Source organism: Homo sapiens, chromosome 22 (assembly GCF_000001405.40).
Source record: "Homo sapiens chromosome 22, GRCh38.p14 Primary Assembly".
Lineage (NCBI taxonomy): Eukaryota > Metazoa > Chordata > Mammalia > Primates > Hominidae > Homo > Homo sapiens.
In genome coordinates, this window is record NC_000022.11 from 38,409,382 (window position 1) to 38,424,277 (window position 14,896).

General features: G+C 56.2%; 1 long non-coding RNA gene across 3 annotated transcripts, besides 2 other annotated features; it reads right to left on the bottom strand.

Annotated features, from left to right (window-relative positions):
* Positions 1-974: 974 nt before the first annotated feature.
* LOC105373030 (uncharacterized) lies at positions 975-14,837 on the bottom strand. 3 transcript variants are annotated; one of them, XR_938253.3, is made up of 6 exons: positions 14,461-14,837; positions 13,578-13,797; positions 13,060-13,124; positions 8,635-8,785; positions 7,499-7,601; positions 975-1,017 (listed from the first exon to the last, which is right to left on the bottom strand). It is a non-coding gene; the product is annotated as an uncharacterized LOC105373030 (long non-coding RNA). The 3 variants fall into 3 exon arrangements; XR_938254.4 differs by lacking the exon at positions 13,060-13,124; XR_007068095.1 differs by lacking the exon at positions 14,461-14,837 and having other exon boundaries at positions 13,578-14,292.
* Positions 3,476-3,675: a silencer, noted in NCBI's record as "silent region_13718". NCBI's record gives its function as "represses an Ori minimal core promoter by ATAC-STARR-seq in GM12878 lymphoblastoid cells {active_cell/tissue: GM12878}" and the evidence as "EXISTENCE:reporter gene assay evidence [ECO:0000049][PMID:35858748]".
* Positions 8,175-8,674: an enhancer, noted in NCBI's record as "H3K4me1 hESC enhancer chr22:38813561-38814060 (GRCh37/hg19 assembly coordinates)". NCBI's record gives its function as "activates a minimal SCP1, AML or CMV promoter by ChIP-STARR-seq in naive H9 embryonic stem cells {active_cell/tissue: H9 hESC(naive)}" and the evidence as "EXISTENCE:reporter gene assay evidence [ECO:0000049][PMID:30033119]".
* Positions 14,838-14,896: the final 59 nt, after the last annotated feature.

Genomic DNA, 14,896 nt, shown 5'->3' on the forward strand with positions numbered 1-14,896 from the left:
ATTATTATTATTATTATTATTTCTTTTTTCAGTATTTATTGATCATTCTTGGGTGTTTCTCGCAGAGGGGGATTTGGCAGGGTCATAGGACAATAGTGGAGGGAAGGTCAGCAGATAAACATGTGAACAAGGGTCTCTGGTTTTCCTAGACAGAGGACCCTTTGGCCTTCCGCAGTGTTTGTGTCCCTGGGTACTTGAGATTAGGGAGTGGTGATGACTCTTAACGAGCATGCTGCCTTCAAGCATCTGTTTAACAAAGCACATCGTGCACCGCCCTTAATCCATTTAACCCTGAGTGGACACAGCACATGTTTCAGAGAGCACGGGGTTGGGGGTAAGGTTATAGATCAACAGCATCCCAAGGCAGAAGAATTTTTCTTAGTACAGAACAAAATGGAGTCTCCCATGTCTACTTCTTTCTACACAGACACAGTAACAATCTGATCTCTCTTTCTTTTCCCCACATTTCCCCCTTTTCTATTCGACAAAACCGCCATCGTCATCATGGCCCGTTCTCAATGAGCTGTTGGGTACACCTCCCAGACGCGGTGGCGGCCGGGCAGAGGGGCTCCTCACTTCCCAGACGGGGCGGCCGGGCAGAGGCGCCCCTCACCTCCCAAACGGGGCAGTGGCCGGGCGGAGGCGCCCCCCACCTCCCTCCCGGACGGGGCGGCTGGCCGGACGGGGGCTGACCCCCCACCTCCCTCCCGGACGGGGCGGCTGCCGGGCAGAGACGCTCCTCACCTCCCAGATGGGGTGGCAGTCGGGCAGAGACACTCCTCAGTTCCCAGACGGGGTCGCGGCCGGGCAGAGGCGCTCCTCACATCCCAGACGGGGCAGCGGGGCAGAGGAGCTCCTCACATCCCACACAATGGGCGGCCAGGCAGAGACGCTCCTCACTTCCCAGACGGGGTGGCGGCCGGGCAGAGGCTGCAATCTCGGCACTTTGGGAGGCCAAGGCAGGCGGCTGGGAGGTGGAGGTTGTAGCGAGCCGAGATCACGCCACTGCACTCCAGCCTGGGCAACATTGAGCACTGAGTGAGCGAGACTCCGTCTGCAATCCCGGCACCTCGGGAGGCCGAGGCAGGCAGATCACTCGCGGTCAGGAGCTGGAGACCAGCCCGGCCAACGCGGTGAAACCCCGTCTCCACCAAAAAATGCAAAAACCAGTCAGGTGTGGCAGCGCGTGCCTGCAATCCCAGGCACTCTGCAGGCTGAGGCAGGAGAATCAGGCAGGGAGGTTGCAGTGAGCCGAGATGGCGGCAGTACAGTCCAGCCTCGGCTTTCACAACTTTGGTGGCATCAGAGGGAGACCGGGGAGAAGGGGAGGGGGAGGGAGAGGGACCAGTTATTATTTTTTAAAATGTCTTCTCGGCCAAGCACGGTGGCTCAAGTCTGTAATCCCAGCACTTTGGGAGGCCGAGACAGGTGGATTGCTTGAGCCTTGGGAGTTTGAGACCAGCCTGGGCAACATAGCAAGACTCTGTCTCTACAAAAAAATACAAAAATTAACTGTGTGTGGTGGTGTGTGCCTGCAGTCCCAGCTACTCTGGAGGCTGAGGTGGGAGGATCATCTGAGCCCAGGGAGGTTGAGGCTGCAGTGAGCCGTGATTGGACAACTGCACTCTGGTCTGGGTGACAGAGTGAGACCCAGTCTCAAAAAAAAAAAAAAAAGTCTTCTCTCCCCTACTTACCTACTATGAGTATAGATGAGGCAATTTACTTGACAAATATTTAATGAGCACCCCACTATGTGCTGGGCCCCATGCCAGATCCTGAGAAATATAACGGTGAACAGGCCCGACATATTCCTGGAGCTTCAATCTGAGATTTGGTAGTTTGCAGAATCCTGAAGAGAGCTTATTAAAATGCAGGTCCCAGGACCCATCTCACACAGGATGTCAGGGGTGTGAGGTGGGGACCAGGAGTGGGCACCTTTTGCCAATTGAGTCTAGCCCTGTCCTACAATATGTAAGCCACAAAATGATCCACATCACATCAATTTAAATTTTCCAGCAATTACATTAAAAAGTAAAAAGAAGGCCGGGCATGGTGGCTCGGCTCACGCCTGTAATCCCAGCACTTTGGGAGGCTGAGGCAGGCAGATCACCTGAGGTCGGGAGTTCGAGACCAGCCTGACCAACATGGAGAAACCCTGTCTCTACTAAAAATACAAAAATTAGCTGGACGTGGTGGTGCATGCCTGTAATCCCAGCTACTCGGGAGGCTGAAGCAGGAGAATCACTTGAACCCGGGAGGCAGAAGTTGCAGTGAGCGCTATTGCACTCCAGCCTGGGCAATAAGAGAGAAACTCCGTCTCAAAAAAAAAAAAAAAAAAAAAGTAAAAAGAAGGCTAGACACGGAGGCTCATGCCTGTAATCCCAGCACTTCGGGAGGTCAAGGCAGGAGGATCGCTTGAGGCCAGGAGTTGGAGACTAGCCTGGCCAACATGGTGAAACTCGTCTCTACTAAAAATACAAAAAATTAGCCAGGCGTGGTGGTGGGTGCCTGTAATCCCAGCTACTCAGGAGGCTGAGGGAGGAGAATGGCTTGAACCTGGGAGGCCGAGGTTGCAGTGAGCAGAGATCGCGCCACTGCACTCCAGCCTGGGCTACAGAGAGACTTCATCTAAAACAAAAAACAAAAAACAAAAAACGATAATTTAAAGATAGTTTGCAATCTTTCTTTCTTTCTCTTTTTTTTTTTTTTTTTTTGAGGCAGTCTCGCTCTGTTGCCAGGCTGGAGTGCAATGGCGCGATCTTGGGTCACTGCAACCTCCGCCTCCCGGGTTCAAGCGATTCTCCTGCCTCAGGCTCCCAAGTAGCTGAGATTACAGGCGCCCGCCACTGCGCCCGGCTAATTTTTGTATTTTAGTAGAGACGGGGTTTCACTATGTTGGTCAGGCTGGTCTCGAACTCCTGACCTCAGGTGATCCGCCCACCTCAGCCTCCCAAAGTGCTGAGATTACAGGCGTGAGCCACCACGCCCGGCCTGCAATCTTTCTTACTACAAAGTCTTTGAAATCCGGTGTGTATCTTACATTCACAGCACACCTCAGTTACACCAGCCACATTTCAAGTGCGCAGTGTGACTCGGGGCTACTGTGTTGGACAGCGCAGCCCGGAGGCTGATCCGGGTAGCCCGGGGGCCACGCTGGGAGCAGCGCAGGGCTGGATCGTGTCTGTGAAACTCACTTTGCAGACTCCGGTGCTCCAAACAAAATGAGGGAACAAAGTCATACCCGGACTCCAATTCTGCCTCCCACTCCTGGCTGTCTGCCCCAAGGTCCTTCCGCCCCGTCCTGGCCACGTGACCTTGGGAGTCCCTTCGCCTCCAGAGCCTTGACCTGTACACCTGAGAAATGGGCGTGGTGACTCCTGCTGGCAGCAGCAGTGGTGCGCGTGGGGACACGCGTGCGGGGAGTCAGGCGCCCCCGGGTGCTCGCGGCAGGAAGGAGTGAAGCCTGCGGGCGGGTGTGGGGGCAAGAACTGAAGCCGGGGGAACCAGACGGGCTCCGGGTGCGGGGGCTCCGCTGGGGCCACGCCAGTCCGCCTGCAGCAGCCGGCAGCTCCGGAGGCGGCCACCGGGCGGCGCTGTGGAGCAGGGACCCCGGGGCCCGCAGGGGCCCGCGGAGGAGTGAGAATAATTAGTAACAGCCCCTGTCTGGGGTGCACTTCCCGGGGGAGGGGAGAATGAGGTCACTCTGGTCCTTCTGTGACAGGAGGGAAAACAGGCGAAGAAGCCCATCCCCCCAACCAACCCCCCCTAATTCAAGTCGGCCAACACTGCGGCCATGGGAGGATCCGGGTTTGGAGTCGGGGGCTCTGGGTGAGGTCCTGATTCTGACCTCTGAGGGACCTCGGGCTGCTCGGCCTGGTCTCCCACCTGTAGACGGGGACACCTGTGCCTCCCTGCAGATGCCGGCTGCAAAGGGGCGTTGCCAACTGTCTGGTGCCGAGCCAGAGTCAGTGCGTGCCTGGGATTGAGAGGCGAACTTTGAGAGATGAGGATAAAAATAACAGCTGCCGATGCTGAGCTAAATGCCTACTCTTCTTTATACTCTCTTAACAGCCGGTGAGGTTGGTATGACTGTTGCCCCCATCTGACAGATGGGGTAGCTGGGCCTCCAAGGTCTGGTGTGGCCTTACCTGGCCCAGCAGAGCGGGACCCTGATTCCAGGGTTCTGTGCTGCCTTGTGACCAGACCTTGGCTTAGACGGGTTCGGATGAACCTTCTCCTGCACACACCCCCACCCATGGCTTTTTCCTCCCTCCCCTCCTGGGCTCTCAGACCCTCTGGCCTTCCCTCCCCTCCCCAAAGGCTGCCAGGGCCCACAGCCAGGACCCCCAGTCTCCCCATTAAGATCAGAAGCCTCTCCATGCCCACAGCTCAGGCCTAGCCAGTGAGAGTGGTCCTCTGGCCGTAATAGTGGTTTCAAGACAGGCATGGGACTCAAGCCTGGCCAGTGTGGCTGGATGTTGGGACTCTGGCACCTAGAGCAGTTGGGAAACCTGCCTGGAGGCCTAGGGGCTGGGAGCCTGGAGCCCGGAGGCCTTGGGAGATTTGCTTGAGTCTTGTCTTCACCTTCTATTTTGTATTTTTCTAGAGAGACAGGGTCTCACTATGTTGTCCAGGTTGGTGGGCAGTGGCTATTCACGGGGCAATCAGACTCGAACTCCTGGCTCAAGCCATCCTTCCACCTCAGCCTCCTGAGTAGCTGGGACTACAGGTGTGCACCACTGCGCCCCACTTGGCTTCCCCTTTAATGGAGGAGCTGCTGACTATGGTCTTGTGCTCTGGAATGCAGCCAAAGCACCTCCAGCTTTCCACCTGCCCGCAACCCCAGTTCTGTGCCCACAGTCTGCCTCCCACCCTCCCGTCCATCTGCACCCCGTCCCCACATTGACTCACCAAATCTAGAGTCTGATCATTGGAGGGTCCCTCGCAACCCCTTGCCTCCTCCAGAAAGAAAGGCTTGGCTCCACTCTCTTTTTTATTTTTTGAGATGGAGTCTCGCTCTGTCTCCCAGGCTGGAGTGCAGTGGCGCGATCTCAGCTCACTGCAGGCTCTGCCTCCCAGGTTCACACCATTCTCCTGCCTCAACCTCCCGAGTAGCTGGGACTATAGGCACCCGCCACCACGCCCGGCTAATTTTTTGTATTTTTAGTAGAGACAACGTTTCACCATGTTAGACAGGATGGTCTCGATCTCCTGACCTTGTGATCTGCCTCCCAAAGTGCTGGGATTACAAACCTGAACCACCATGCCCGGCCTGCCTTTGTTTTTTATCTGTAAAATGTGGCAAAGGGCTGAAAGCCCCCTAGCTCCTCTGGAAGCCAGAAACACCCTGCCCGATGATGGCAGCCCCCTTTTTAATTTAATTTATTTATTTTGAGATGGTGTCTCATTCTGTCGCCCAGGCTGGAGTGCAATGGAGTAATCTCAGCTCACTGCAACCTCTGCCTCTTGGATTCAAGTGATTCTTGTGCCTCAGCCTTCTGAGTAGCTGGGATTACAGGTGCCCGCCACCACGCCCAGCTAAGTTTTGTATTTTTAGTAGAGACAGTGTTTGAGGCCAGGCTGGTCTCAAACACCTGACCTTAGGTGATCCGCTTGCCTTAGCCTCCCAAAGTGCTATGGGATTACAGGTGTAAGCCACCATGCCCGGCCCAGCCCCCTCTTTTATAAGGGGACTTTGTATATGCTGTCCCTCTGCTTGGACGTCCTTCCTTAGTGTCCCTAGAGGGGGTAAGAGCATGACTGGACGCAGGCAATCTGCAATCCAGTCCCAGCTGGAGACAACAAAGGGCGCTCTGGGCTGGGGGCACTGCAGGTGCGAGGCCTCTGGAGCGGGAAGGCATAGGTAGCTCGGGGGGAAGGTTCTGTGGGGTTGGACGAATATATTTTATGGCTCAAGTTCTAATTCAGCAGCCCTGTCTCCCTCCTGCCCCTGGGAGAACTTCTGCTTTCCCTGGAATGGGGCTGTGGAAGGACAGACTGGTCCGTGGGTCCGGGTGACCTAATTTGAATAATGCGAACGGGAATGCTGAGATTCTGATATGCACGATGGTCTTGGGGCCTATGGGTCGGGGGGAATGAAGACCCTGGATTGGAATTGGAATTGGAACCCAACCAGGAGGAACAGGCAGCCCAGGGGTTTGGTGGAGGGTTTTGGGTGACAGGGACGTTACCAGGAGGCAGGAGAGGCCCAAGCACACCACTTGGCAGTGCCTGGCAGAGCAGGGCAGGGCGCGGGAGGGCGGGTGACAGTGGCTGGTACAGGTTTCAGCAGTGAACACCTCCCGCTGCACTCTGGGCCTCCCCATGGAGGAGCTGGAAGCTAAAATAGGACTCTATTTTGGGGGCCTGAGGCGAACTGGAGTCACTTCCCTGCCAGAAGTGAGAAGTTGCTTCAGCCTCTACCAGGGCAGGCCCTCCCCTATGCCGGAGTGGCAGGGGGTGGGCCTTATGGGTGCGGCCTGAGGCAGAGGGTGCGGGCCAAGGAGTGGGAGAGGACCGTGGCTGCTGAGGGGCTGAGGGGCTGGGGGCCTGGCCCACAGACATCATCTCCCTCCGTCCTCAGGGCAGCGGTGTGAGGTGGGAGCTGGGGCTTCCCCATGTTACAGATGAGGCTCAGAGAGGCCAAGTCACCTCTCCAAGGTCAATCAGTAGCAAGGGGCAGAGCCAGGATTTGGCCAGGTCTGGATGACGCCTGAGATGTAATCCCAACCCCAGCAGTGGGCGTGAGCGGGACCTCCACAGGCAGAAGGAGCAGCTGTTTCCTGACCACCTGCCGGGTGCCTGGCCCTCTGCACGCGCGATGGCTCAGTGAGGCCCTGTGTCCCGCCCCACAGGAGGCTGCAGCCTCGCCCCTTCTCACAGACAGGCCTGAAGCCAAGAAGGCAGGCCTGGGAAGCTCCAGCCTCAGGTGAGCGTCTGAGTTACTGCCCAAACGCAGGCAAACCCCTTTCCTGTCTGGGCCTCAGTGTCCCCATCCGTACTTCCAGGAGATCGGGCCACAGTCCCAAAAGACCCATCCAACTTTTCTTTTTTTTTTTTTTTTTGAGATGGGGCCGCTCGCTCTGTCACCCAGGCTGGAGTGCAGTAGCGCGATCTTGGCTCACTGCAACCTCTGCCTCCCAGGCTCAAGCGATTCTCTTGCCTCAGCCTCCCAAGTAGCTGGGATTACAGGCGCCCACCACCATGCCCAGCTAATTTTTGTATTTTTAGTAGAGACAGGATTTCACCATGTTGGCCAGGCTGGTCTCAAACTCCTGACCTAAGGTGATTCACCCGCCTCGGTGGCCCAAAGTGCTGGGATTACAGGCGTGAGTGAGCCACCGTGCCTGGCCAAGGCCCATCCAACTCTGATGTTTATAACATGTCCCACGGGGAGGCTGGCAGAGAGCTGGGCTGGGAGGCAGCTGCAATGACCCGGGGCTTTCGAAGCCTGCCTTCCCCAGCAAACCCATTCTCCAGGTCTCTCAGTGAGGCCCACCTGCGGCCGGGGGAAGAGGAGGAGTGTCTTTCCTGATGCAGACCCCGCTCCATGCTGCAGTGGATCCACGTGCACGATGCCATGTAGTTGCAGGTTGTCACCCCTGTGAGAGAGGGACTGTTGTTATGGCCTCTTTTTTATAGTTGAAGCCCAGGGCCAGGAAGTCCCTGGGCCCAGGACCACCCGAGAGGGAGGTCATGGTTGGGCCCCTCACCCAGGCTGCGGGCTCCAGGCCCCACCCTTCTGCCGCCACCTTCATGATGCCACAAAGTCGAAGTCTGATTTCATTACCCCCCTGACCCCAAGCTGGTCTTTGGCTGCCAGGAGGTGGCAAGGCCATTTGCGGCCCCCTCCGCACCCAGTCCTTCCCTGCAGTGACTGGGCTGTGAATAGCCTGGCCCATCCTCTCCACGGCCCCACCTTTGCCGTCCCCATGCTCAATTGCCCATATCCTCCCTCCTCTCACCTGCCATTTCCCAGTCATTCCATTGTCTCGCGCTCTCCTGCCCACTGAGGTGCCTCTGGCAGCTTCCCAGGTCCTCCCTGACTGGTTTTGGAACCCCAAAAGTGGCCCCCCTATTCCTGCTGCCCCATTCAATGTCCCACAGCAGCCCCAGACACCTGGAGACTGGCAGAGGCTGCGAGAAGGCTGGCCCCGTCCAGGCTGCCACTCTGCCCACCCGGGCCTGCTGGCTTCCCATCCCTGCCCAGCCCCTGCTCCAGGCCACTCAGCTGCCACGTGCAGCTCCTGAATGCCACCTCCGTCACCCACTCCTCTGCTCCCAGCCTGCCCAGAGCTCCCCACTGCCTACAGGAAAAGGTCCCAGGTCATTAGTGTGTCGTCCTCACCTGCTCACCTGGCCCAGCCCCCAGTACGGCCCCACCCATGCCATGCACCCCCCTTCAGCCTCACTCGCCTCCCCGCCAACCTCTGCCAGGGTACAGAGGCTGAAGAGTCTTCAACCTTAAGGCCAGAAAGCCTTGGGCAAGACGTGTCACCCCTCAGAGCCTCCTCATCTGTACAATGGGGGAATCACAGAACCCCCCTCACAGGGCAGATGGGGGGTGTCAAATGGGAAATCAGAGAGTAAGGGGCTCCATCACCTGGAAAGTGCACCATTCACTGTGACCCTTACCGTAGGGGATTGCTCAGATTCCCCTCCAGCGGTGATAAGAGACTGGGGGTGGGCCTGACAGGGTAGGAGTCAGGGGCGGTGGAGGAGATCTCACAGCCAGGACAGAGTCGCCGCCTGCTCCAGCCCACAGGGCAGACATCGGGGTCCCCATCTGCAGAGAAGAAGATAGGAGGCTTGGGGCACACAGCTGCCAAGCGGAACTGGCATTGGCAACAGGCCTGTCCTTTGCCCCCAACACGCACGCAGCGGGGCTTCTCTGTCCCCTCCAGCCTCTGGGTTTTCTTCATCTCCTTTTTTTTTTTTTTTTTTTTTTTGAGATGGAGTCTCACTGTGTTGCCCAGGCTGGAGTGCAGTGGTGCCATCTTGGCTCACTGCAACCTCTGCCTCCCAGGTTCAAGCAATTCTTCTGCCTTAGCCTCCCAAGTAGCTGGAATTATAGCCACCACACCTGGCTAATTTTTTGTATTTTTAGTACAGACGGGGTTTCACCATGTTGGCCAGGCTGGTTTCAAACTCCTGACCTCAGGTGATCCACCCACCTCGGCCTCCCAAAGTGCTGGGATTACAGGTGTGAGCCACCGTGCCTGGCCTTCATCTCCCCGATTTGGGTTCCAGCCGCTGCTGTAGTTGCTGGGCTGTCTTGGTCTCTGTATCTCCTTAGCCTCCTCTGGCTTTTCCGTGCAGCTCCCGCACCGCTCAGCGCCCCCGGCCTTCTCCCGGGGCCATCCCTTCTTTGGCCCTAGCTCCTTTTCTCTAATGCCCACCTTCCTCTCTGCCTGGCTGCATGCGGGCCTAGGGTTTTGCCATCCTGGGGTCCCTGAGCACCCAGCTGCTTCCCCACAGACATGCCAGTCCTTGTAGTGGGTGGGAGGCTGTCACTTCCCCTCCGTCTGTGCCCCGACACCTGTTGCTGTCCACCTGTGACTCAGTGTGGTGTCTCCGGACCCACAAGCCGGTGCCTCCTCTGCTGGAGCTCCGCTTGATCTGTTTTGCGTTCTCTTCTGCCTCCCTCGGGCTCACTCTTGGCCCCTGGGCCTCAGTAGGCCTCCCTCTCTCAGCCCTTGTCTCTCTGTCATTTTTTGTCTCTGACTCTCTCAGTGTCTCTTTCTGTGTTTCTCCTCTCTCTCCCCATCTCTGTCACAACCTATCCCTGTCACCTCCTCCCACATCAGTGTGTAATATCCCTTCCATCCTCACAGCTCTGTCGCCTCTCCCTGAACCCTTCCCGCCTGTGTGCACTCACCCTTAGGCCCTGCACCAGGTGTAGACAGAGGCCCCGGGGGGAGGTGAGGCAGGAGGGGCTCAGACAGGCCTGGGGGACGTTCCAGGGATAGCAAGGGGAGGACAGTGAGCTGAGCCTCTGCCCTGCTTAGCAGGAGCCCCAGGAGGCCAGAGGGGCAGGTGCTGGCCTCCAGACCCTCATCCCAAGGGGCCACATCCCAGAAGGTAACCCTGGTGACAGGCGGAGGGTCAGGAGCCTGGCTCTGGATAGGGCTCTGTGGCTGTTCCTCTGTGTGATGTCGCTAATTCCCCCACCCTCCCCTCTCTTCCTCTGAACTGGGGACAACCAAAGGTCTCTTCTTGGCCTCCTTCTCACTGTGGGCACTGTGAGAGCGGAAAGCAACCTCCACCCAGCAGGGGCTCTGGCTTACTTGCCCCATTATCAAAGCCCCTGCAACCGCAGTGGACGGCTCCAGCGACCATGACCAAGAAGCCCTGGCTGCTGTCCCAAGCCTGAGCAGGTAGCGGCAGGGGTTTGCCCATGGTCCCACCTGGCGTCGGTGGCAGGGCCCAGGCCAGAGGCCGGCTTCAGGACTCTCAGCACAGGGCTGAAGGGTGGGGTCCCAGCTACATCTTTGTCGGTTTGGTTCAGTGCTGAACGGTTTCTGCTAAAACAGGCCTTCCTTACTCACAGAAGGTGCTCAACGGGTTTTCATCGCGTGACCTTGAGACGCCCTTTAGAATCTGTGGTGGGTGGGGCCGGCGTGTGAGCTGAGGGCCAGGATCCAGGCACTTGCTTCTGGCTGTGTGGGAAGGTTCTGCCAGGTTCCAGGCAGCAAGTGGAGTGAGGGGTGGCCAGTGATTGGGGGAGGGGCAAAGCTAGGCTTGGCCAATTTTGCTAAGTGCCTATCTCTGTCTGTCCTCACCTCTCCCCCAGACCTCCTGCCAGCTTCTGAAGGCCAAAGGAACAAAATCCTAGGTGGTCAGGCACATCAGGACCCTGGAGGTCATCAGGTCCCAGCTCCTTTTTTTTTTTTTTTTGAGACCGAGTCTCACTCTGTTGCCCAGGCTGGAGTGCAGTGGCATGATCTCAGCTCACTGCAACCTCCGCCTCCCGGGTTCAAGTGATTCTCGTGTCTCAACCTCCTGAGTAGCTGGGACTGCAGGTGTTCACCACCATGCCTGGCTAATTTTTGTATTTTTAGTAGAGATGGGGTTTTACCATGTTGATCAGGCTGGTCTCGAGCTCCTGACCTAAGGTGATCCACCCACCTTGGGATCAAAGTGCTGGGATTACAGGCGTGAGCCACTGCACCTGGCCTAGCTCCTAACTTTGAAGATGGGGAAAATGAGGCCCAGGAAAGAGAAGAGAACACCCAAGATCACACAGTGGTCAAACCCAAGCTCTCTCTCTAGCCTTCCAGTTTTCATAGACTGAGAGCAAAGTAACCATCAGGTGTCCCTTTTTCCATGGCTGCCAGGTAGCTCAGAGGTCCATTTTCAAATTGTGTGTCTTATATTGTAAGCCAATCCAAATCCCTTCCAGAAGGCAATTCGTATTTATTTAGGTCCAGTAATGTACCTGACACCATGCCATGCCTGGTCACATATGGGATCTCATTTAACGCACACAGCAAGCATGTGAGATAGATATGAATGGCTCTTTCAGATAAGGAAACAGGCTCAGAGACATCAATTAACTTGCCCAAAGTTGCACAGCTAGTAAGTGGTAAAGGCAGGATTCAAATCTAGGACCCTCTGGCTCTGATACCCGTGATCTTTCCTCTCTGTGAATAGGCACATAGAGGCCAGTGCTCTCGGCCCCATGCCCTGGTCTCATTATTGTGCCCATTGCCTGCCATTCTTCCTCATCTTCATTCACTCTCTTGACTAGGAGCCCCTTTCGTGGCTGTGAAGGGGAATATTGGTTATTTATTTATTTATTTTTGAGACAGAATCTCACTCTGTCACACAGGCTGGAGTGCAGTGGCATGATCTCAGTTCTTTGCAACCTCTGCCTCCCGGGTTCAAGCAATTCTCTGCCTCAGCCTCCTGAGTAGCTGGGATTACAAGCCCACGCCACCACGCCCGGCTAATTTTTGTATTTTCAGTAGAGAAAGGGTTTCGCCATGTTGGCCAGGCTGGTCTTGAACTCCTGACCTTGTGATTCACACACCTCGGCCTCCCAAAGTGCTGGGATTATAGGCATGAGCCACCGTGCCTGGCCAGGATATTGGATTTAAAGCTCCTTCGCTTTCCAATTCCTGGGACCCAGGTCTACATCGTCCTTGTAGGAAGATTCAAAGGCTGAAGGGTGCATTTCTACAGCCTGCCAGACAGAGCCCAGAATTCTGTTAGCTTTTGAACCTTGTACTCAGCTTATGCAAACAGGCACAAGAAGAAAAAATAGTGAACAAAGATGTTCATCACTGCGTTGCTCCAGGTCTCAGTTTCTCTATCTGTAAATGAGGGGTTGCCTTGATGATCCATAATGGTGTATAATTTTTGATCTTCTATAATTTGATGAACATTCTATAGTCATTAAAAATTGAAGGCCGGGCGCAGTGGCTCACATCTGTAATCCCAGCACTTTGGGAGGCTGAGGGCGGATCACAAGGTCAGGAGTTCCAGACTGGCCTCGCCAACATAACCCCGTCTCTACTAAAAATACAAAAAATTATCCAGGCATGGTGGTGCACACCTGTAATCCCAACTACTCGGGAGGCTGAGGCAGGAGAATCTATTTTTTTTTTTTTTTTTTTTTTGAGATGGTGTTTCACTCTTGTTGCCCAGGCTGGAGTACAATGGCATGATCTCGGCTCACTTCAACCTCTGCCCCCCCGGGTTCAAGCGATTCTCCTGCCTCAGCCTCCCAAGTAGCTGGGATTACAGGCATGTGCCACCATGCCTGGCTAATTTTGTATTTTTAGTAGAGACAGGGTTTCTCCATGTTGGTCAGGCTGGTCTCGAACTCCCAACCTCAGGTGATCTGCCCACCTTGGCCTCCCAAAGTGCTGGGATTACAGGTGTGAGCCACCACGCCTGGCCAGGAGAATCTCTTGAACCCAGAAGGCAGAGGTTGTGGTGAGCCGAGATTGCGCCATTGCACTCCAGCCTGGGCAACACAGCGAGACTCCATCTCAAAAAAAAAAAAAAAAAAATTGAAAAGATGTAGAATCCATCAATACCCAGAAAAGTCAATACCTGGAAAAAACTGCAATGAGAAAAGCTAGACGCAGGAAGCAGTCATCTGATCGCAGCCATGGGCTCTAACAAAGACAGGGGTGAACGCAATGAGGTGAAATAGCTGAGTCGGATGCCTCCTAAGTTCTTTTCTATTCTTCTGTGAGCTATTTGAGTTCATAAGGAAGATAAATCTTCCAGAAGCTGGTGGGAAGGAAGCCATGGTGAATCTACAAGGATTAGGCCTGAACCGTGGAATTCCAGGCAGGCAGGCAGGTGTGGCCAGATGAGGGCGGGGTTTTTTGCTCCCATTAGATCCGCCCTCTTCCCCCCTCCCTGTCTTCCTCCCTTTCTTCCTCTTCCTCCTTCCTTGTCTTCCTCCCTTTCTTCCTCTTCCTCCCTCCCTGTCTTCCTCCTTTTCTTCCACATGCATGATACCCTCTTCATTCTCTCCATCCTGCCCACCACTCCTGCTCCCCAAGAGGCTGTGACCGAAGTGGGGAAGAGAGGGCAGGGCAGGGCAGAGGGGGTCTCCTTACCCTGGCTCTGCAGGGAAGCTGGTGTGGCATGAGGAGGGCTTGGCAGCACTTTAAGGCCCCTTCAGCCTGCCCGTTGGCACAATTCCAAGCTCCGTGACATCTAAGGTTCTTACACCCCCAGACGCAGCAACTCCCCCCACCCCGCTCCGTCAGCGCCGCAGGAGCCGGAGTGGAGTGAGGGATCAGAGGAGCGGCACGAGGAGGGAGGCAGGTGGGAGGGCTGTGAAAGGGGAACAGGTGGGAGAGGGAAGGTGAGTCAGCCCCGAGCAGAGCTGAGCCAGCAGGAGTTTGCAGCGCAGCCAGGCCTGGGAGCCTCCCTGCAGCTGCGGGCTCTCGGCACCGCGTGGCCCCCTCCCCCAGTGCCCACACTGGCACTGCCCTTTGGCACTCCAGAAGTCCTGGCTTTGGGCTTTCACTTGCCTCTTCTGTGTGACCCTGCCACAGGTCACCTTGCATGTGACCAGAGAGACCAGGCCTCTCCCAAAAGAGCAACTACCACAAGCATATGAGCAAGCTGCAAGCTGGTGAAGGGCCTGGGGGGACCTTGGAACGCCCCATGTTGCTCTGGATGGTGGATGATGGGCCCTCTTGGGGGTAACCCCACATGTACCCCTTCCCCACCCTGCATCCGGGCCTCTCGCACATCTTAGAGGAGGGTAGACATCCCCTAAGACGTGCTCTAGGTGGAGGCTTCTGAGTCTGGGAGCACCTGAGCCTGAATCCTCTTCAGTTACTGCTCGTAGCCCAGGAAGCCGTGGCATCCTGGGGATGTGGTGGGAGGAGTGGGGAGACCTGGCGAGACCCACCCAGGGCCTGCAGGGCTGGATAGAGGGACATCTCTCATGAGCCTCCAGGGTCAGGATTGAGACCCTGGGGTACTCACCTGACAGAAGGGGACCAGGGGTCCTTCCAGAATGTGGGCAGATGCGCCACTGAATTTCCTTCTTGCTGAGCGGCCCCCACAGGCTCTTCGGTGGGGGTGGGGGCCAAAGGCCACAGGTGCACTCTGGGAAATCTGGGAGGGCACAGAGGAGGAAAGGAAGCAGCCCCTCCCCCTCATTGAGCCCCCACCTGGGAGAGGATGGAGTGAAGGAGAAGCAGGCTCCCGGGCCTCTGACTGTCCTCACTTTGTTTCCAGCCAGCCCCCTGGTTCTCTGGGCCTCTATTTATTTCCTCATCAGTAAAAGGAGGCCATAATCCTTGTCCTGGCTTCCTCTTGGAGTTTCGTAAGAGTTCAATGAACCCAAGGACGTGAAAGGTGTTATGCAAATGAGAGACATTATGAGTTATCTATTGGGAGGCTTGGATCCTGAGCTTGG